The 23,606-nt window shown below is 40.2% G+C and overlaps 1 protein-coding gene and 1 long non-coding RNA gene across 3 annotated transcripts in view; one reads left to right on the top strand and one right to left on the bottom strand.

Moving 5' to 3' along the window:
• Positions 1–23,606, top strand: part of PRDM4 (PR/SET domain 4) — a 28,267-nt gene that overhangs the window by 1,095 nt on the left and 3,566 nt on the right. The window contains exons 3-11 of one of the 2 annotated variants that reach the window (NM_012406.4): positions 3,078–3,211; positions 5,934–6,119; positions 7,834–8,628; positions 13,619–13,768; positions 15,382–15,500; positions 16,761–16,846; positions 17,695–17,822; positions 18,783–19,097; positions 20,492–20,660. In NM_012406.4, coding sequence (NP_036538.3) covers positions 3,078–3,211; positions 5,934–6,119; positions 7,834–8,628; positions 13,619–13,768; positions 15,382–15,500; positions 16,761–16,846; positions 17,695–17,822; positions 18,783–19,097; positions 20,492–20,660 — 2,082 coding nt within the window. Of the gene's footprint in view, positions 1–3,077; positions 3,212–5,933; positions 6,120–7,833; positions 8,629–13,618; positions 13,769–15,360; positions 15,501–16,760; positions 16,847–17,694; positions 17,823–18,782; positions 19,098–20,491; positions 20,661–23,606 lie in introns of both variants that reach the window. The other variant, XM_005268593.2, reaches the window with a different exon arrangement.
• On the bottom strand, positions 75–23,488 carry PRDM4-AS1 (PRDM4 antisense RNA 1). The gene is made up of 5 exons (NR_120474.1): positions 23,096–23,488; positions 21,554–22,021; positions 20,379–20,916; positions 1,651–1,768; positions 75–271 (listed from the first exon to the last, which is right to left on the bottom strand). It is a non-coding gene; the product is annotated as a PRDM4 antisense RNA 1 (long non-coding RNA).

Raw genomic sequence — 23,606 nt, 5'->3', positions numbered from 1 at the left:
ATGTTTAGAATAAGGAAGATAAGGCACAAATTCATTGAAATTATTGAAGCCCCACTGCATTTTTCAAAGTGGCTGCATTTCAGTTAGTTTATTATATTTTATGCGAAGAAAAAGGTGTAAAATCAGCAACTGGCAGATGGTTGCATAGGTCAGTTAGAAACACACACATAAACTGTAGAACTGTGTAGGAAATTATTTTACCCTAAATGAGTAGGGAAGATAGAGCTTAGTATCTTGATTCTTGCCTTCTTCCGGGATTGCTTCTTAGAATCTCATAGGAGAAAGAAAATGAGAATAGAACTGCATTTTAGAATGAGAAAGTCTTATGAGGATCATATTGTACATTCCCTTCATCTGCCTTCTCTCTGTGGGATACTCATTACCTTTGGTTTATGGCTGCTGAGGTCATCACGTTTTAGTGACTCACAACAAAGCAGAAATCTGCTGAGCCTCTCGCATTAAACTCTGGTTTGAACTGGTTTGAGAAGGCCTAGGAGTCAACCTAGAAACACCATGCTGATTTTTATCTTGAAATTAAATAAATATTCAGGAATTTTCAGAATGAGAGTTGAAGGTGCAGACTTGTAGTTGTACTTTTAAAAAAATATTGTAACCAATTTGTTAAGTAGGCTGTTACAGCTGTAGTGATTGTAGTGTTTTAATTATGGTTGTAGCTATAAAGAGTTAGGGAAAAGTCTGTTTTAAACCAACTCAAGCCCAGCAACTTTCAAAATTAAGGTAGATATGTTTTCTTTAGGCTACAGGGATTTTTTGCTTTTTTTGTTTTTAAGACACAGTCTCACTCTGTCACCCCAGCTGGCGTGTAGAGGTACAGGCAGAGCTCACTGTAGCCCCGACCTCCCCACTTCAGCCTCCCCTGTAGTTGGAACCACAAGCACGAACCACCATGCCTGGCTAAGTTAAAAAAAATGTTTAGTAGAGACAGGGGTCTCACTGTGTTGCCTAGGGACGTCTCCAAGTCCTGGGCTCAAGCGATCCTTCTGCCTTGGCCTCCCAAAGTGTGGGATTACAGGTGTAAATCACCACACCTGGGCTGCTTTATTTTATAGCATAATAAAAACTGTTATTAGCATGCTGTTCTTCATAAGGTGTACCTCATTTGCCAGGTGCTTCTAGCTGTCTTTCTGGTAAGGGTGATGAGTTTGCATAGCTCCATCCGATAAAATAAGAAAATTCAGAATGTCTGTTCTATACAAGGTACTAGGTTGGCCTTTTACATTTTATTGATGTCTTAGAGCTTAGTTTTATGGGATCCATGGCCAGGGATAAGGGTGAAACCTAATAATGCAAGAAACAGGTCTATGTGGAACTTTAAATATACGCCACAATATAAGTAGATAGGCCCTAATGTATTGCAACTGTGTAAAAGGCAATATAGTTCTTTTATTGTAATTGTCTTTTTCTTACTATAGTTAAGAGCTTTGGTTTCTTAAATTAGTTCTGAATTTAAATCCCAGCTCTCCTTACTGGTTATGTGATTCTGGGTTAAGTTTCCTAGCATCATTGAATCTTAAGTTTCCTCATCTTTAAAGTGGGATTAAGAATAATACCTACCTCCAGCCTGGGCAACATAGGGAGACCCCATCTCTGCAAAATAAAAACAAATTAGCCAGGCATGGTGGCACTTGCCTGTGGTCCCAGCTGCTTGGGGGCTGAGGTGGGAAGATCTCATGAGCCTAGGAGGTAGAGGCAGCAGTCAGCTGTGATCACGCCACTGCACTCCAGCTTGCAGCTACTGAGCAAGACCCTGTCTCAAAAACAAAAAAAAAAAAAAAAAAAAAAAGAAGATTAAGAGAGATAGTTACATATAAATCACTTAGCCCAATACATAGCACATGGTAAGGGAGCCATAAATTTTAGCTATTATTATTTTCAGGTTGATTGATAAAATGGCATTGCCATTTTTCAGAATTAAAAACCTATTTAGATTTGATTTCACTGCTAAGGAATATGTAACCTCATTTGATTCCTCTTCTCTGCTTCACCCCCTCCCATACGCAGAGAATAAAGCCCAGTGTAAGGACTGGAGGTCATTAGAGAGCCCCTTTTGGGTAACCTGTTGGCTAGCCTAGTGGTTCTGTAATGTTTATAGTATGGCAGTCTCTAAATTATGATATAAGAACTAATACTTTTTGATAACAACCTTCAGTGCTGTTTTATTCAAATCAGTATTACTCTTATTCGAAAGACATTTGTAATGGCAGTGCAAGATGGTTTGCATAGAAAAGGTGATTCCTAGGTTCTTCACCTTGCCAAAAATAGTCTGTAGTTAAAAAAAAAGTTTGGTGCAGTTAAAAAAAAGTTTGGTGCAATGAAAAACTTTTTGGCAGTGTTTTGCAGTTTGATCTGTGATCTTTCACTTAATAGCTATGTGATTTGGGGCATATGACATGGCCTCTCTGAGCCATAGTTCCCTCATCTATCTTACGTTGCAGTATTGGTGTGAGGATTTGAAGTCATTTTAAGTGAAGTGGTAGCAAAGCTTACATAATGACCCTCAATATTTGGAGGACATTAATATACTGATACAGAATCTTAGTAAACTGTTGCTGAATGGGGAAAATACGATGCTTTTCACATCATCGATAATCTGGATCTTTAACTCCTATTAAAAATGATTAGTAAAATTTACTTGAGTAGGTTAAAATGCGCTGCCTAAAACACTACTGGTTTGAAATAATAAGCCATTTGGAGAAAAATAAATATTATAAAAGATGAAGCTTGAGTGATTTAAAAAAAAACTGTCATTGCCATTGTGCTCTAAGAATTGCAGACTTTGCTTTAGATGGTGTGCCTAGAGTTTCGAACAAGGCAGAATTCAAATCCTATTTCTGCTATGTGACATTGAATTGAGTTTTTAATGTCTCAATCTCAGTTTTCTTATCAGTAGAAAGAATATGGCACTAGCTATCTAAGAGAATTGTTGAGCGTAAAAGTGAACTAATAGTTGGCCAAGTCCCATTTCCCCATCCCCACTGTTTCAGTTTCTTCAGTATCTTAATACAGAGTCATTGGAGTAAATTTTTGCATAACTAGTTGTGTGTGCTCTTTTCTAGGATGAATGAAATGAACCTGAGTCCAGTGGGGATGGAGCAGCTGACTTCATCCTCTGTGAGCAATGCCTTGCCAGTCTCAGGAAGTCACCTGGGATTGGCTGCCTCACCCACTCACAGTGCCATCCCTGCCCCAGGTGAGTGGTAAGGGAGACCTACTGCATTTCAACACTTAACTCTGTTATCAATTCTAAATGGAGTCTAGAAGAGATCAGAGCCCCTTTAAGGGTAGAAGGTAGAAGGGAGAAGGTAAGCAGGCCTGAATGGTGGTTCAACATGTGATAGGTAATGGAAAATAAGGTTTTTGTAGAGGTAGAGTATTAGAATTCTAGTGGATAGTAGCAGCAATTTTTTCTGATAGTCCTCTTCTGAGTTGGTAGCTTTTTGTCCAGAGCTGTAATTAACTTGGCATTTTATTTAGGGCTGCCCATTCATCTGGTTCACACTTCAGTACCCGTTCCCTGGGTTAATAGAAGAGAATCAGTTAAAATTACTCTAATAACTATTCCCAGAGAGCATGGGGAATTGGGCTTTATATTCCACCAGGTTTGAAATTAAATGGCAATAACTGCAAGTGTACCAGGTCTAGAATTAATGTGGAAAGAAGTGTGGTACTTTTACCTGGGGCTTTTACATGGAACGCCTCATGAGCCTCCATACACAGCAAAATCGTATAGGAAAAATTCATTCTTCCTATCCTTTTTTTTTTGAAATGGAGTCTCACTCTGTCATCCAGGCTGGAGTGCAGGGGCACGATCTCGGCTCACTGCAACCTCCGCCTCCCGGGTTCAAGTGATTCTCCTGCTTCAGCCTCCTGAGTAGCTAGGATTATAGGCATGCACCCCTACACCTGGCTCATTTTCTTTTTTTTCTTTTTTGAGATGGAGTTTCGCTCTTGTCGACCAAGGTGGAGTGCAATGGCACGATCTCGGCTCACTGCAACCTCCGCCCGCCTCCCGGGTTCAAGCAATTCTCCTGCCTCAGCATCCCGAGTAGCTGAGACTACAGGCACACGCCACCATGCTCAACTAATTTTTTGTATTTTTAGTAGAAACGGGGTTTCACCATATTAGCCAGGCTGGTCTCGAACTCCTGCCCTCAGGTGATCCGCCCTCCTCGGCCTCCCAGAGTGCTGGGATTTTAGGTGTGAGCCACCGCGCCAGCCGTCACTGTACTTTTAAAACCTTTTTTCTGCCTAGCTTCATTTTCTTATTCTATTGAAATAGAATATAAATGGAATAAATATTCTATTGATTATTACAATGATAAGCTGTCAGTTCTTTAGGATCAATGACATTGTTATGTATTGGACTTTCTTTGTCACAGTAGGAGTTAGTATAAATAAATCTATATATTGTTTAAATAGTTCTCTAAAGAGAATTACTTGCTTAATTAATAAAATGCAGCAGTTAAATAAGATTCATTGAAACTAGGGTCTCTTCACATTTGTTTAAGTGTCCACAAAAGAAATCTTAAAAAATTATTAGTGGTTAACCCACTTGATTGTTTGTAGGCATTCCCTTTAGTGGACACTCTTGTTAAGGTGGAAAAGCCTGTTAAAAAATATTGCCAGCCAGGCACAGTGGCTCACGCCTATAATCCCAGCATTTTGAGAGGCCAAGGCAGGAGGATCACTTGAGCCCAGGAGTTCAAGATCAGCCTAGGTAACATAAGGAGACCCCATCTCTACAAAGAAAAAAAAAAAAATTAGCAGCGCATGGTGGCACACACCCGTAGTCCCAGCTACGTAGGAGCTACATAGGAGGCTGAGAAGGGATGGCCACTTGAGCCAGGAAAGCTCAGGTTGCCTGAGCCATGGTCATGCTACTACGCTCCAACCTGGGCAACATAGCAAAACCTTGTCTCAAAAAAAAAAAATATTGCCCCTGGCAAAAATATGCAAATCAGCACTGACCAAGTTGGTGGGTATTTATTATGATACTTAGCCCAGTAAAAGTCACTTCACTTTGCAAGTACATATAACTCAAAGTAGATATAATCTCACGTTTAAAGCTTTTATTAATCACTAAGTGTAGCATATATACAAAAGATTGTATGAAGGTGTACATGTACAGTTTTACATCTAACTAAACTACGTTGTTTTCCAGGTAGAAATGAAATATTCTCACCATATAAAATGGTAAATACAATAAAGTTTAAAAATACCAAAAAAATTTCATACTATCACTACCTAGGGACTACTCCTATGAACATTTTATGTTTCCATTGTTTTTTTCTCTATATAATTTGTTTTCTTGTATTTAAACTCGGTTTTTAATTCTAAATTAAATATTTTGGCTGGGCATGGTGGCAATCCCCGCACTTTGGGAGGCTGAGGTGGGCAGATCACTTGAGGCCAGGAGTTCGAGACCAGCCTGGCCAACATGGTGAAACCCTGTCTCTAGCAAAAATACAAAAATTAGCTGGGTGTGGTGGTGTGTGCCTGTAATCCCAGCTACTCAGGAGGCTGAGGTAGGAGAATTGCTTGAACCCAGGAGGCCGAGATTGCAGTGAGCTGAGATCACACCACTGCACTCCAGCCTGGGCAACAAAGCAAGACTCCGTCTCAAATCAATCGATAAATTAATTAATTAAATATTTTTGTATTTAAGCGCAATACAGACAATTGGAGTATCAACTTGCCGGTTTAGAACTAACTTAAAAACTATCTTTGGGACTAAGACTACTTTCTTTAGGCTTATTTGTGGATATTTGCACATTATCTAAGGATGAAAAGGGCTAGTAGGTGAGATTTTTGCCCATGTGTAAAAACCTTTCTAAGAGTTTAGCCAGTGGTTGTAGTGAGAATTTTTAATTACCTATTTTCTTTTAACTGAGAAAAAAAATTTTGTTTTGTAGGCCTCCCAGTGGCAATTCCAAACCTGGGTCCCTCCCTGAGCTCTCTGCCTTCTGCTCTGTCTTTAATGCTACCAATGGGTATTGGGGATCGAGGGGTGATGTGTGGGTTACCTGAAAGAAACTACACCCTACCTCCACCACCTTACCCTCACCTGGAGAGCAGTTATTTCAGAACCATTCTACCTGGTAAGTGTTACAGTTACTTGAGATGTTAGAGAAAAAGAACGGCGCCAGCTTTTAAACTTTTATCCTGAAGATATGAATAACACTTTTTTCTGTTTGTCACTATTAGATATTAATCTCTAGGCAGGAAAAGTATCTTTGTTTATATTTATGTACTTTTCCTCTTAGAATGTGGCACATAACACATTAGTAATACAGTTTGACTAAGCTGAATTTCTTAATTGCACATAATTTTTCTTCTTTCTCCTCCAGTATCTCTTTCATTTGGTGTTTATAATTCTACAGCTATAATTTCAGTCAAGCACTATAGTGTCTTGTTATAGTGTCATGTTTTTTAAGTTCATTGAATTTTTATTCTGTTATAGGAGTATTATATGCTTATTGCGGAAAATTTAGCAAATAAGGGAAGGAACCACTCAGTCCCATCATCCATCTTTTTGGTGTACTTCCTTCCTGCCATTTGTTTTGGTGTATAGGTTTTTACCAATTTTCATAATTAAGACCACGGTTTCTTCTCTTGCTCTCTTTTTTCTTTTCTTTTTTTTTTTTTTCTTTTAATGGAGACGGAGTCTCAACTATTTTGCCCAGGCTGGACTGGAACTCCTGGACTCCAGTGATTCTCTCACCTCAGACTCTTGAGTAGCTTGGAATACAGGCACATGCCTGCCTTGAGACCATACCATATTTCATTTCTTTTTTATAAATAACTTTTTTAAAAAAAGAGATGGGGTTTTGGCATGTTGCCGAGGCTGGTCTCGAACTCCTGCGCTGAAGCCATCCGCCCACGTCAGCATCCCAAAGTGCCGGGATTACAGGCATGAGCCACTGTGCCCTGCCCAAGACCATACTTTCTATACGATTGTCTGTCTTTACTTTTTTCACTTTATCTTTTTCTCTGCTGTTACATGGGTATTTTCCTTTGCTGCTACGTGGTTTTCATAATTATCCTTTTTAATGATGCATTACTTTCTACTGAATGGGTATTTGATGGTTTATTATCTTTATTGTTGGACAGTTTGGTTTTTCCAGTTTTTATTACCATTGTAACTAATGCTCTTATGAACGTCTTTATGTATAATATTTACAAAATGGATTTAGAGAAGAGTACCTTAAGTGGAATTTCTTGTGCAAGAGGGTATTAACATTTTTGAGGCTCCTAATATATATGCTTCACAAAGAAGTTTTAGCAGTTTACATTCCCTCTGGCAGTTTAGTAAGTATCATTTCACCATATCCTCCCAAGCACAAGTGTTAATTTTTTTTTGTTTTAATAAAACAGGTACAATTGTGACTTGTATTAAATAGTTTGTGTTATGATAGTTTAATTATATTAAATTATATTTAATTAAGTTTTATTTTTCACATGGAAGATCTGTTTTTAAATCATTTTACCTTTTAATAATTAGGAGAGCAAATTTTACACCTTAGGACTCAGGAATTGCAACCATATGTATATTAAAAGCAGTGTTTTCGTTAGTGATTCCCAGTTAGCTTCAAAGGAACATAGTTAACTTTTTTAGGATTTTCGAGTTTTACAGGAAAAACTCAATTACGGTATATGTATGTTGCTATTTATAAAATAGTGTGTATCGATTAAATTAAAGAAGCAGGAGATTATTTGAACTTAGTTATGTTTGTAAGGAAATAGCGTCTAGTGCTTGGAATTCTTTAATAATGTACTAAAAGTCTCTGATATCTCATCTTTTCCTTTTCTCAGGCATTTTATCTTATTTAGCTGACAGACCACCTCCACAGTACATCCACCCTAACTCTATAAATGTTGATGGTAATACAGCATTATCTATCACCAATAACCCTTCAGCACTAGATCCCTATCAGTCCAATGGAAATGTTGGATTAGAACCAGGCATTGTTTCAATAGACTCTCGCTCTGTGAACACACATGGTGCCCAAAGTCTTCATCCCAGTGATGGCCATGAGGTGGCCTTGGACACAGCAATCACTATGGAGAACGTTTCTAGGGTTACCAGCCCAATTTCGACAGATGGAATGGCAGAGGAGCTTACGATGGACGGTGTTGCAGGCGAGCATTCCCAAATCCCAAATGGCTCCAGAAGTCATGAACCTCTGTCTGTGGATTCTGTGAGCAACAACCTTGCAGCAGACGCTGTAGGACATGGTGGTGTGATACCCATGCATGGGAATGGCCTGGAGCTCCCTGTGGTCATGGAGACAGACCACATTGCAAGTCGGGTCAATGGCATGTCTGACAGTGCCCTCAGTGACTCCATTCACACTGTGGCCATGAGCACCAACTCTGTAAGCGTGGCACTCTCTACCTCACACAACCTTGCCTCCCTAGAATCTGTTTCCCTCCATGAAGTTGGCCTCAGCCTAGAACCTGTGGCTGTCTCCTCCATCACCCAGGAGGTTGCTATGGGGACAGGTCATGTAGATGTATCTTCAGACAGTCTTTCTTTTGTATCACCTTCACTGCAAATGGAAGACTCCAATTCAAACAAGGAGAACATGGCAACCTTGTTTACAATTTGTGAGTGTGTTTAGCCTTTCTTTTTTGGAAATATTTGTAAAAAGGGCCACCATCCCTAACAAGTTAAGTCGTAAAGTTTGGCATTAAGGGAGTATAGAAAGCAACTAGACCTTGGAACTTTTCTTTGCCTTGGTATTGTCCTTTATATTAATGTGGTGCCTTTTCTTCAAGTAAGCCAAATGATATACATACATTTAGTTGGTTCTTAGAGCATCCTCCTGAAGAAATGAAATGTGAAGTAGTCATTTTTGTATTTTGCAGATAAGCTTAGCACATGCGGTAGTGTGTGCCTGTAGTCCCAGCTATTCTGGAGGCAGAGGCAGGAGGTTGCTTGAGCCCAGGAGTTTCAGGCTATAGTGTTCTGTGATCCCACCTGTGAATAGTCCCAGCTATTCTGGAGGCTGAGGAAGAGGGTTGCTTGAGCCCGGGAGTTTCAGGCTATAGTATGCTGCGATCACACCTGTGAATAGTACTGCACTCCGGCCTGGGCAACAAAGTGAGACCCTGTCTCTAAAAAACAATCATAGTGATAATACAATATTTTTTTAAAAAAGGTAAGTTTAGCCCAGTAATAGTTAAGGTATTTCCCAAGGTTTCACAAATAGAGAGTTATAGGGGTAAATTCTAGTAAAGCTGTTTGTGACATGCCTTGTGAAAATTATTCAGTCACTTTTATAACCCCATGGAAAAATGTAGGTGGATATAAACCAATTTTTTTCTTTGCTCAGAGTGCATATAAATTATTATTCTTGGGCGTGTAAAAGTTTTTCTTATTGGGCAACAACAACAAAAAACAATATAAAAACAGTTGATTTACTGGTGTCACTGTGTTTCATTCATGCAGGAAACATGTTGAGTGCTTATTTTAATTTATTGATAGGGTTTCTCTGTCGCCCAGGCTAGGGTGCAGTGGTGCGATCACGGCTCACTGTAGCCTCGACCTCCTGGGCTCAAGTGATCCTCCCACTTTAGCCTCCCGAGCAACTGGGACCCCAAGTGTGTACCACCACACCTGGCTAATTTTTAAATTTTTTGTAGAGATGGGGGTCTCACTGTGTTGCCTTGGCTGGTCTTGAACTCGACTCAAGCAATCTTCCTGCTTCAGCCTCCCAGAGTGCTAGGATTACAGGTGTGAGCCATCATGCTGGGCTTTTTAGTGCTTACTATGTGGCAGCCTCTGCTAGATGCTAGGGATAGAACGATCTACCAAGAGACAGTATGTGTACATACCTTTAAGGAGCTTACAGTCTGGTAGGAAGCATAGGAGACTGTTACAATATAGGATAATAATAAGTGTGACGATGGGGTGAAGTGCATTGGTACTAAAGTAGCCTGAAGGGGAGCAACTAGCCAGGCCATGGAAGGGTCGGGGAAGATTTAACCAAGGGAAGTAACATACATGTTAGCACAGACCTTAAGGACAAGAAAGATGTGGGCAGTTGAGAGTCAGGAAGACAGGAGCTGGCACCTGTAAGTGCCTAGAACCAAAAGAATCATGAGTGTTTCAGAATTGCTGAAGCATAAAATGAGGGTGAAGAGAGGGGTCATGTGGTGAGAGGAGAAGTAGGAGCCAGAACACAAAGGCTCTTTTAAGACCGGTCAAGAGTTTTAGGGAGTGAGGGTTGGGGTAGGGCTTTGCTGCAATGTGAGAATAAATTTGTTAAGAGGCAAGGAGGTGTGGAAGATATCATAATTTATGGGAAAGGTGATGATTCTCACCAATCTAGAGTAGAGGTAATTAGGATGCAGAAGAGTGGAGGACATTTGCAGAGAACCCAGTTGAGCTTATCGATTGGATAAAGTTGGAGGAGGGAAGCATTAAGGAGAAAACCCTGGTTTCTGGCTTCTGAAACTAGGTAGATAGAAACTAGGTAAGTAGAGAAGGCCATGTGTTGGCTCACACCTGTAATCCCAGCACTTTGGGAGGCTGAGGCAGAAAGATCATTTGAGACCAGGAGTTCAAGATCAGCCTGGGCAGCATAGTGAAACCCTGTCTCAGGAAAAAAAAAAAAAAAAAAGCAAACAGAAACTAAGTAGGTAGGGTAGTAGTGAAAGGCAGAGGAGGATATGATTTTGATTTTTATTATTTTGGGAGGAGTGACGATGAGTCAAGTTTTAGACATGTTGATTTCAGTGTCTGTAAGACACCCAGTAGAGATGTCTAATGAAAAGTTGTGTGTGGACCTGAGAGAGATCTGTCTGGAAATATTTAAGAATCATCAACATTAAGATGTTATTTGTGGCTGTAGAAGTGGAATGAAATCATCTAGTAAGAGTGTGGACTGAGAAGAGGGCTAGGGATATCAAGATATAGCAGAAGAGGAGCTTCCAAATAGACTCAACGGGAGCATCAAAAATAGGAGGAAGCCCAGAACCATTCTGTGCCACAAAATCCAGCCCATGGAGAGACTAGTTTTAACCTTTTAAAGTCTCAAATTTAGAGTTTTAAAATGTTTTAATCGAAGAATGTAATGAATATAAGGCTAATTTAGCAGAAGGTAGGAGGTGGCCTAAATAAGCTTATTGATTTTTTTCTTAAGAGGGCAAATGGAACCTCTTCTAAGTGTGTGTGGTTTATAATGAGATATAATTTATGTATACATTTTAAACGTGCAATTTAGTGGTTTTTTTGGTGTATTTACAAGGCTGTGCAACCACCACCACTGTCTCCTTCCAAAACATTTTAGTCACCCGGTAAAGAAACTTCATAACCATTAGTCACTTCCCATTCCCTCCTTCCGCGTATTCTCAGCAACCACTAATCTACTTTCTGTCTCTATGGATTTGCCTTTTCCAGATATTTCATATAAATGGAATCATGCGATACTTGGCCTTCTGGATCTAGTTTCTTTCTCTTCGCATAATACTGTTCTGTCTCATCCATGTTGTAGCATGTATTTGTACTTCATTTCTTTTTAGAGCTGAATAATCTGTAATATGGATATACCACATTTTGTTTATCCATTTATCAGTTGATGGACATTTGGGTTGTTTCTGCTTTTTGGCTACTATGAATAATGCTGTTATGAACTCTCATGTACAAGTTTTTGTGTGAACATCTGTTCTTGGATATTTAGGAGTAGAATTGCCGTATGTTTAACTTTTTGAGGAACTGCTTTCCAAAGTGGCTGTGCCATGTTACCGTCCTAGCAGCAGTGGATGAGGGTTCTAATTTCTCCACATTTTTGCCAACAGTTAATTTTTTATTTTTATTTATTTATTTTTTTATTTTTTTGAGACAGAGTCTGGCTCTGTCACCCAGGCTGGTGTGCAGTAGCGCAATCTCAGCCTCACTGCAACCTCCACCTCCCGGGTTCAAGCCATCCTTCCACCTCAGCCTCCCCAGTAGCTGGGACTACAAGTGCTCGCCACCATGCCTGGCTGATTTTTTGTATTTTTGGTAGAGACGATTTGCCGTGTTTCTACCTGGTCTCATGCGTTCGAGACCAGCCTAGGCAACATGGCAAAACCCTGTCTCTAGCAAAAGTATTAAAAAATCAGCCAGACGTGGTGGTGCATGCCTGTGGTCCCAGCTACCCAGCAGGCTGAAGCAGGAACGCCACTGCACTCCAGCCTTGGTGACAGATCGGGACCCCGTCTTAAAAAAAAAAAGAAAAGACAGATAGATGACTGTGGTTCTAAGGTTTATGTATTCCAACTATTTTGTGAATGGTTGTGGAGTTTAAATGTAATGATTGAGTAATAGTATCATAAATACTGTTCCTTAGCAGAGTGGAAAGTGTAAAGAATAGAGCAGAAGATTTACGGAGGAGGACACTCATAAGCTTGTGAAAGTGAAGTTGTAGTAAGAATAGAGAACAATATATAAAGGGAGCATCCTCTCTGCCAATGCAGAAAGAAAGACCATATGAAAAATAAGAAATTAAGAATTTTAAGCAAATAATGTCTGCAAGAATACAATTCTTCTGCCCTTTGAAAGAGCAGGCTGCAAATTGTTTTTGTCTTAAGAATGTGTCCTCAAAACTTGGTTGACCATCTTGTTTATAGTGAAGCAAAAGAGTACAGTGGTGTAGCTGGCTCTGACGCCAGTGTCCTATGTTCATAGCATAGGTCACTGGGGTCAGAGCCAGCTGTACCACCGTGGCCATATTTTGGCTCTGCATAACTAACAGCATTTCAACTCAGTTTCCTCTTACAGTTCAGAATTGGAATCTTTTGGACTTTAGGGCATCATACCTAAATGTACGATCTACTTAATGTAAGGGATAATGTACTTGATTGTTGAAGTAATATGGTGCTATTTTTTTCTTTTATTATTATTTTTAATTTTTTTTAAACAGATGGGATCTCACTGTGTTACCCCAGGCTGGTCTTGAACTCCTGGACTCAAGTGATCCTCCCTTCTCAGCCTCCCAAACTGCTGGGTTTACAGGCGTGAACTACCATACCCAGCCAATTTTTCATTAGTGTTTCTCTTATGCACTGAATAGGAAACTTGTCCTGTTGGATCAAAAGAAAAAAAATCAGATCTTACTGAAGTCTGAAGAGTGGTGTAAGAGTAGGTATATATGTTAGTGTAAGGAAGTGAGTCTTTGATAAGAATATCTCTATTAGAACCGTGCTTCTTACTGGATACATTTTAGTAATTAGCATTTAAATTAAAACCTGGGGCTGGGCATGGTGGCTTACACCTGTAATACCAGCACTCTGGGAGGCTGAGGTGGGTGCATCATCTGAGGTCAGGAGTTCCAGACAAGCCTGGCCAACATGAGGAAACCTTGTCTCTATTAAAAATTCAAAAATTAGCTGGGCATGGTGGCACACGCCTGTAGTCCCAGCTATATGGGAGGCTCAGACAGGAGAATCGCTTATACCCGGGAGGCAGAGGTTGCAGTGAGCCAAAATCGCGCCATTGCACTCCAGCCTGGGTGCAGAGCAAGACTTTGTCTCAAAAAAAAAAAAAACCGTGGTGGTAATTTAGCCTGCTTGAACTAAACCCATTTGTATTGCTCAAATTTGCCATCTACAGGGTGTACTCTGTGTGACCGCGCCTATCCCTCGGACTGTCCCGAACATGGACCAGTGACTTTTGTTCCTGACACTCCAATAGAGAGCAGAGCAAGGCTTTCTCTCCCAAAGCAGCTTGTTCTCCGTCAGTCAATTGTGGGAGCAGAAGTTGGTAAGAACCTTGGAACTGTAAAACACTATTACATCTCTTCTTCCTTTGTAGCGTAGAGTTGTAAAAGTGGATGTGTATAATTTAGTAATTATTTGGACCAAAAGTCAATTTATGGCTTAAGATTTATGCTTTTATGGAATATTAGTCTTGTCCACTGATGATAGCAATAAATCAAGTCAAAAACTTTATTGGGAAATCTCTCCTTTGTTAGAATCAGTATTGAGTAAAGCAAAAAATCCTAGACTGAGTCTTTGAAGATTTAACTTTTATTCTCATCTGTCTCATCCACTAACAATTATTCTAACAACACATTTCTTAAAACTTAGTTTCTTTTATAGAAACATGGAAAATTCACCTTATGACACAACTTTAGATCAAATGTTTGTAAATTATATAATGCTCCTTAGATAAAAGGAATAAAGAATGTAGATTGCCAGACTTTACTTACCCATATTTGAATTTAGCATGGCTTCTGAGTTACTGCGACATTTCTTTGGAAATATAAAATTAGGTTCATTATTCTTTTAGCTGCAGTTTGGGTGTGAGTCATTTCAAAGCATCAAACAGTTTAGGTAAAATAGAGCAGTGCTTTAAGCACAAAAGATTTTAGAAGTCTGATTTATTTCTATAGTAATTGCTTTATATTTTTACAATAGAATAATGTTTTCTGTTATTTTTTATTTATTTATTTTTAAGAGACTGGGTCTCACTCTGTTGCCCAGGCTGGAGTGCACTGGCCTAACATACGGAGTACAGTAACTCGAGTGCAGCCTTGACCTCCTGGGCTCAAGCAATCATCCTGCCGCAACCTTCCAAGTAGCTGGGACTACAGGCATATGCAATCATGCCCAGCTAATTAAAAAAAAAATTTTTTTTGTAGAGACAGCATCTCACTATGTTGCCGAGGCTGGTTTCGAACTCCTGGCCTCAAGCAGTCCTGCCTTGGCCTCCCAAAGTGTTGGCTCATTATATGTGTGAGCTACAAACTTTTTTATATTTAACTCCAAAATAATGTATTTGGAGAGACATGAAAAGATTCCCTTTGGATAAAACTAGGTTCAGGAATTCCTGATATTTCTTCTTACTCAGCATTTATTGTGAGCCCTATGTTATCTGTTCATTACATTTTATATATTTACAGGGCTAGGACCCACAAGGCTTAGTCACCTCTGAGGAATGCTAGCATATTGTTTTTTTTATTTTTTTATTTTTTTTGAGACAGAGTCTCGCTTTGTCACCCAGGCTGGAGTGCATTGGCCCTATCTCTGCTCACTGCAACCTCCGCCTCCTGGGTTCAAGCAATTCTTCTGCCTCAGCCTCCCAAGTAGCTGGGACTACAGGCGTGCGCCACCACGCCCAGCTAATTTTTGTATTTTTAGTAGAGACCGGGTTTCACCCTGTTGGCCAAGCTGATCTCAAACTCCTGACCTCAGGTGATCTGCCCACCTCGGCCTCCCAAAGTGCCGGGATAACAGGCGTGAGCCACCACGCCCAGCCTACATATTGGTTAAATTCATTGAAAATAAGATTCTTTGCATGGGTGAAGCACCTCTTTCTTCTGTATCTTGCTGTTTAAATCATTGATTGTGTAGTTGGTGTCCTTCCACTGACAGGTGTATGGACTGGAGAAACCATTCCTGTGCGGACTTGCTTTGGACCTCTAATTGGCCAGCAGAGTCACTCCATGGAAGTAGCAGAATGGACAGACAAGGCAGTTAACCATATCTGGAAGGTCAGTCCTGATGAAACTTTTCTGTGGCTTTTGGCTGTTTTTCTTAGTAAGAGGTAGTTAAAAAGTTATGATAAAGTCAAAATCAGCCAGAACTGATACAGTGCCATTCACTGGTCAGTCATTTATTTCACGTACATTTTTTTAAATGTTACATTCATCATTCTTGGTAGCCAAATTATAACATACAGCAAAACACCAGCTACTGGAAATAGAGGACAAACTGTTTTTGTCTCTGTTTTGTGAGTTAATCCAATTATTTTAACCATTTAATGCATTTGAATTACTTGTGACTGCTGAGGCCACAGACTTTGTTTGTATGATAAAAGTCTTACTTTGTAATTAAAACATTCCTCAAATGTTTATCTTAGGAAATAATTCTGGAATAAGAAGCTAAGATTATTTTTCTAGTTTTCTTTTTTTTTCTTCCTTGAGATGGAGTCTTGCTCTGTTGCCCAGGCTGGAGTGTAATGGTACAATCTTAGCTTACTGCCACCTCTACCTCCTGGGCTCAGGTGACTCTCCCACCTCAGCCTCCCAAGTAGCTGAATTTACAGGCACTTGCCATCATGCCCAGCTAATTTTTGTATTTTTGTAGAGACGGGGTTTCCCCATGTTGGCCAGACTGGTCTTAAACTCCTGACCTCAAGTGATCTGCCCACCTCAGCCTCCCAAAGTGCCGGGATTACAGGTGTGAGCCACCGCACCTGGCCTATTTTTCTAGTTTTCTAATGAGGGGTTAGAAATACAACATTTTCACATAGATATCTATTGGGAATGATGCTTGCGAAATTGAAGTAAGGAGAAAATGGGTCTTGTGATCTTTGGAAAGGTAAGGTACCACTGTCATTGGGAACTTTAAATTTGGAATGCTAGGCCCAAGTGGGAAAATCATGACAAGGGATGATCCTCTGCCCTTAATGGACATTCAGTCATTCAGTGCCTACTGTGTGATAGGTGATGAAGACAGGTGGACAGGTAGACTGGTTTTTTGTCTTTTCCAGGCAAAGGTTGAATAATCAAAAACAAAGTCAGTCTCTTCACTGAGCACTAACTGTAGGTCTCTGATGGTCTTTATGTATTGCTGGAAATAGGGAGAATGTTGAAATGATAGCATGTTGGAGAAGTAGGAATATATTTTCCCACTAAGAAAGCTGGGACCTACTGCAAATGAGTAAATGAGGTGATTGCTGGCCTAAGTGTAATGTAGTGCTTTATTGCATGTCAGTGCATTTGACATGTGTGCTTGCTTTCTGTTGGCAGATATACCACAATGGTGTCCTAGAATTCTGCATCATTACAACTGATGAAAATGAATGTAATTGGATGATGTTTGTGCGCAAAGCCAGGTATGAGTAGTCTTGGATGAGAAAAAATAGTTACCATTTAGATGTTTTTCAATAGGAAGCTTTGCATAAAAGAAGAAAGAGTTAAGAATCCAAATTACACCAACACCTGGACATACTTAAAGCCCAAGGCAGCCAGGCATGGTGGCTCACACCTTTAATCCCAGCACTTGGGGTGGCTGAGGTGGGAGAATCGCTTGAGGCCAGGAGTTCGAGACCAGCCTGGGAAACATAGCAAGACCCTCATCTCTAAAAAAAGTTTTTTTCAAATTAGCTGGGTGTTGTGGTATATGCATGTAGTCCCAGCTCTTGGGAGGCTGAGGTGGGAGGATCATTTGAGCTGAAGAGTTCAAGCTGTGATCATACTATGGTGGTGCTGTTGCATTCCAGTCTGGGTGACAAAGTGAGATTCTGTCTCAAAAAAAAAAAAAAAAAAGGCACTTACCAAGGAACAATATAGTTACCACTGAATTTGAAAGTGGGTGCCTTTTCTTTATATTGGCTGTTAGTCCACCCCTGAGTTACTGGAGTTAATTCTTGTTTAGCTAGCTAGCTCTATGTCTTTGTCATACTGTTTTTTAAAGACTTCATTTTATTTATCTTGTTTGCTTCCAATAACAGACTGTAGTGTTTTTGACTACAAAAGGTCATCAGCTAATATGTTGAAGTAAGAATTCTGTTTCTCTACAACTGCCTTCTCATAGATAGGACGGGAAATTACAAAAACATTCCAGAGGAAATAGTAAATAGTTCTGCCTAAGCTTTCATATAGGATTTTGCAATGGGGGAATGTTGTACTTAGTATGCATTTCAAAATTAATGTGCTTGATCTATTAAATGTGATAACTCAGGAACCGGGAAGAGCAGAATTTGGTGGCTTATCCTCATGATGGAAAAATCTTTTTCTGCACCTCACAAGATATCCCTCCTGAAAATGAACTGCTTTTTTATTATAGCCGAGATTATGCTCAACAGATTGGTAAGTTAATATGTGTTTATAATGAATCTGGCTTAGTAAAAATACCAAAGACCAGGATTAAAGTTTTGGTAATGATTTACATGTTAGCTGAAGCAAATCATATACCTTTGTTTGTATAAATGCAAACTATTACTTGTATTTGAGGTGTTAAAATCTGTGAGATTCTTCACAAGCTGAATGTTATTGACCAAGCAATAATTCATATGATACGGTCTTTTATGGTAGGACTTTGGTTTGGGGCATTGAAGTTCCTTAGGCTACTTTTCGAGCTAGCACCATTGAGATATAAATTCATGAAGGACAGCGAAGTCCCTCGGTTTGATTTAACCTGCATATGCTTTCTCTTTGCTGTGCTGTTTCATGATGACAGCTAATGTTTAAGAGTTTGGGTATGCTATAAAACCTAAATATTTTGCTTACAAAAGAGGCCTTATAATCCAGTATTTACCAAGTGCTTTCTTTGTGCCTGGTACACTATTTTATTTTACTTATGTATGTGTGTATTTAGAGATAAGGTCTCACTCTGGCAGGCTGGAGTGTAGTGGTGCAGTCATAGCCAACTATAACCTTCAACTCCTGGGCTCAAGCAGTTTCCTGCCTCAGTCTCCTGATTAGCTAGGACTATGGGTGTACATCACCATGCCCAGCCAATGATTTTTAAGTTTTTTTTTTTTATGGAGATGGGGTCTTGCTGTGTTGCCCAGGCTGATCTTAAACTCCTGGCCTCAAATGATCATGCCACTTTGGGCTCTCAAAGCACTAAGATTGCAGGCCTGAGCCACTGTGCCTGGCCCATAGTACATTATTTTAGATGCCCTTAGTACATTATTTTAGTTTTATAGGAAGTGGGCAAATTGGAAATATGGAGAGAAAGGAGAACTGGAAGCAATGATTGTTAATATCAAGAACAAGTTTTAAGATTCAAGTATTGGGAGATAATGAGTAATTTTTTTTTAAAAGGTGTTCCTGAACACCCAGATGTGCATCTCTGTAACTGTGGCAAGGAGTGCAATTCTTACACAGAGTTCAAAGCCCATCTGACCAGCCACATCCATAACCATCTTCCTACCCAGGGACATAGCGGCAGCCATGGGCCAAGTCACAGCAAAGAAAGGAAGTGGAAGTGCTCAATGTGCCCCCAAGCTTTTATCTCTCCTTCCAAACTTCATGTCCACTTTATGGGTCACATGGGTATGAAGCCCCACAAGTGTGATTTCTGTAGCAAGGCTTTTAGTGATCCCAGCAACCTGCGGACCCACCTCAAGATACATACAGGTAAGTTGTGTTGGCCCATCAGAATGGAATTTTTGCAACAATTAGAAAATGCGGTAGTAAAGGCTTTGTAGAGGGATTGTAGGTGGAGTTGAGATTTGATGTCAGAGAAAGAAACCTTCGTGGTTTAACTGAGATTCCTTGGAGGCTGTCACTTCCAATTATTAGGATGTTCTGCTTTCCAGGTCTCCCCACCATAGTTGGAAGGTGCCTGGGAAAATGCACTTAATAATCAGGAAGTTGATCAATGTGTTTGGTCTTAAATAGAAGCTTCTGAGTCTGAGTCTGAGCCTCTCATTAGAGCTCACCCCCCAGTCACCAGCCAGAGCCAGTTTCTCTCCTTTAATATTATTGCTCAATAAATATTGCCACAGTTTATTTTTTGAGCTTCCATTTTCTAAATCCCATGCAAACCAACACCTTTCTTTTAGTACTTTTTAAGAAAAAAAAAAATTTTTTTTTGAGATAGGGCCTCACTCTGTTGCCCAGGCTGGAGTACAGTGACACCATCTTGGTTCACTACTACTTCTGCCTCCAGGACTCAGGTGATCCTCCCACCTCAGCCTCCTGAGTAGCATGGACTGCAGACATGCGCCACCACACCTGACTAATTTTTGTATTTTTAATATAGATGGGGTTTTGCCATGTTGCCAAGGCTGGTCTTGAACTCCTGGGCTCAAACAGTCTGCTTACCTCAGCCTCCCAAAATGCTAGGATTATAGGCCTGAGCCACCATGCCTGGCCACTAACTTTTTTTAATAAATACTACAAAATAACTGATGGCTTTAGCTTTCTTGTTGGGGTCATCTTTTCTCCAGATCTTCAAAAGTTTCTTCCCCATCCTTTTGCAACAGAGACCTTATGGCCCACAAAGCCTAAAATTCTATCTATCCTTTAAGAGAAGGTTTGCTGACCCCTTAGAGGAATCTTATTTTTGCATTCTTGGAAGGATTTTGTTTCATCCCTGGTTTTGAGGCAATATTATATGTTTTAAAAAGATAGAAAACTATAAAATCTATCTTGTAAAAGTATGTTTCCCTATAGACACGTCCTAGAATTCATGAGTTTTTTTTTTTTTTCTTTATGTTTGTGTTAGGGCATTAGGATTATAAGTCATTTTTTTCAAGTTTTATGTATCACCTATACATTTTTTAAAAATACATATTTAGGTCAGAGGTCCTAAAGGAGATCAAATTAATTTACTAGCTTTAGTTGCAGAATATAAACTCAGGAGCTCTTGAGTGGTCTCACATAGACAACCCTAGAAAGTAAAATGCTGCTTACCAGTCAGCTCTGTTTCATTCCTGCCTCTGCTGCATGCACATATGTGTGCCTGTGTGTCTTGGGGATGCCAGCAGTTGTTTTCTTCACGGTGTAATACTTTGGGCTGATTGCAGGTCAGAAGAACTACAGGTGTACCTTGTGTGACAAGTCTTTCACCCAGAAGGCTCACCTGGAGTCCCACATGGTTATCCACACTGGGGAGAAGAATCTTAAGTGTGATTACTGTGACAAGTTGTTTATGCGGAGGCAGGACCTCAAGCAGCACGTGCTCATCCACACTCAGTAAGTTACCCTGCAGCCAAGACGTCGTTCCTCAGGTGGTGAGCCTTTGTGTGGCTGCAGCCCACCTGCTGATTGAAGGGCTGGGGAGTCCTGGCTCATCTGTTTCATGCCTTGGTACCATGGTAGATGCCTTCTGTGTTCCATGTAGCCAAGCCAAGGTTGGAACACTTTTTTTGGTGTTATCCTGGAAGATTTCAGTTGTTGGCTTTCTTTTTCTTACTTTTCACATGTACTCTTTTTTCACATCTACAAAAACCTAGAGACAAAAAGGACTATTGACTGCAAGTGGTTGCTTATAGTTAGACGATAGTGTGCATGTGAGAGAGTGATGGAGTGAGAAGAGTAAGAGTCAGCAGCCACACTATGGAGAACCTTTGGTCCTATTAAGAAAATTCAATTTCAGTCCAGAAATAATGGCGAGACACTGAAGGATCTGCCAGCCCCTGCCATTTTGGAACTGTTCTGTTGGTGTGTGTGTGTGTGTGTGTGTGTGTGTGTGTGTGTTTGTCTGAATTGCAGTTAAAAAAAAAAAATTGTTATCTTAACTGTTTGTAAGTGCCCAGTTCAATAGTGTTAGTTATATTCACGTTGTTGTGCAAGCACTATAGGATTTTAAGGAAAGGAGTGTCATAGTGACATACCCATTCTGTTAATACAAAGATTACTTAGGCAGCTGAACAGAGGATGATTGAGGGTGGGGAAGCCTAAATATTGGAAGACCAATTAGGTATTTATTGCATGAATCCAAGTGTAATTAAATGTCTAGACTGCATTAGTCACAGTGGTCATAGAAAGAAGAGATGGATTTTGTTGTCCTTAGCTTTTAACAAGTGTCAGAAGAGGAAGAAAATGTTTTCAGCTTATGTTATGGAAATTCTCTTTAGAAATCTTACCTTCACTGAAAACGTTATATTCTTAATGTAGAATTTGGATAAACACTTGGCTTTGATACCAGTTCTTCTGTCTGCTTCCTTATCACAATGCAGCCTGAGATGCTAAACAGCCAAGGAGCCTGGATCTACATTCCTAACTCTCAGAAGGATATTCTAAAACAAAGACTTCTTTAGTTCCATTGCTAGCATGAAATTTTACAAAATTAGACAGAAATTATCAAATATTACATCAAATTGTGCAATATTGGAGCCAAAAGAGATCCCCGGATCATCTAGTCTTAACATCCTGTCTAGGCAGCTCAGGTTGTGATAATAAAATACCACAGATTTTGTGGCTCAAACAACGGGAGAGACACAGTGAGAGAAGGCAGTCATGAGCAAGCCTGGAAGAGGGCCCCCACCAGAACCCAGCCAGGCTGGCACCCTGATCTCTGACTCCAGCCTCCAGGACTGTGAGAAAATACGTTTCTGTTGAGAGAATGAAAGAGAAAGAATATGAGAGTTCCAATCTCTTCTCATAAGGACACTAATCCTACATCATGGAAGCCCCATCCTCATGACCTCATCTAACCCTAATTGCCTTCCAAAGGCTCCACCTCACACTGGGTGTTAGGGCCTCAACATGTGAATTTGGGGTGAGGGGGGACAAATATTTGTCCAGAAGACTGCCCATTATAATTGCCTGGAAAATGTGAAAAACAACAATTGGTGCTAGGACCCCATCCATGGGAATTCTAATTTAATTGGTCAGAGTTAGAGCTCTGGCCTTGGTATTTTAAAAAGCTCCCCAAGTGATTCTCGTGGCCAGCCAGGGTTAAGGACTACTGACTTCATCCACATGCAAGATTGATTTCCACAATGTCTCTGGCAAGTGGATATATTGTTTCTTAAAGATCACACAATTATAGTTTGAGGAAAAGTTTTGCTTGAATCAAGTCGATATCAGCCTCTATCCTTTCATTTTACTTTTGCTTAACAAATGTGGATCTGGACTCCTTTTCAGGGTGAGAAGATATGGTAAGCCTCTTTGCCAAACTTTCATGGGATAGAAAGAAGGTTTTGGACTGTCAAAACTTAAAGCTGGTATAAGTCATTCTTATAAGAAGCACTGTTCCCTCAAAATGGTTTTGAATGAGGCTTTAGGCTTCCTATGGAGATCGTTGGTAAAATTTTCAGATGCTTGTATTTTTACTTTGGGGCATTTCAAAGTGGATATAGTAGTATTAGCAGTCTTTTTATTTATCTACTTAAAAAAAACAGCTACAGCCCTAATGCCAAATGCAAGAGGAGTTCCCCCCCTAGTGTCCCCCGAGAGTGGAAGGGTGGTGACAGAACCTGGCTTTGCCCTTCCTGTAAGAAAGAGGAAGTGAGCAGAAGAACAGTGATGTTTACTCCCCAGGTCATCTTGTCTCATGGCTTTAGATACCGTCATATGATTTATGTCTCCACCCTCATACACCTCACCATCACTCAGCGGCTCTGATGCTGGATGTTCGCTAGGCAACTTAAATCTTATGTGTCCAAAACTCAACCCAGTATTACCCCATGAATTTGATTTCCTCCAGTGCTGAGCAGCTCATTAAATGGCACCACCATTATTCACCTCAATGGTCAAGCCAAACACCTTGAAGTAATTCTCAACTCAGTTTTTCCTTCCTTCCTTCATTCAACTAACACCTTGTCCAGACCACCAGCTTTTCTTCTATGGATGGCTTCAGTAGCCTCCCAGTTGATCTCCCTGCCACTACTTGCTGTTTCTCCTCATCTACTCCGCAACACAGATGAACACACATACACACAGTTTTCTGTCCGCAGTGCCAGAGCAATCCATTTCAAATATAAGTCAGATTGTGCCTGTCTCCACTCATACATCTCTGGTGGCTTTCCATCGTATTTGTGTTAAAAGCTTTTTACAGCAGTCAGAAGGCCCTTTATGATGTAATAGTACTTGGCTACCTCTCCCTTCACCTTTTCTTACTTTTCATATTCTGCTTTGGCCACTCTGACCCTCCCCTTGCTACTCCTTGAGCATACTAAGCACATCCAGTCTCAG

This window comes from Homo sapiens, chromosome 12 (assembly GCF_000001405.40).
Source record: "Homo sapiens chromosome 12, GRCh38.p14 Primary Assembly".
In the NCBI taxonomy this organism is placed as follows: domain Eukaryota; kingdom Metazoa; phylum Chordata; class Mammalia; order Primates; family Hominidae; genus Homo; species Homo sapiens.
This window is presented reverse-complemented; position numbering and strand designations above follow the sequence as displayed.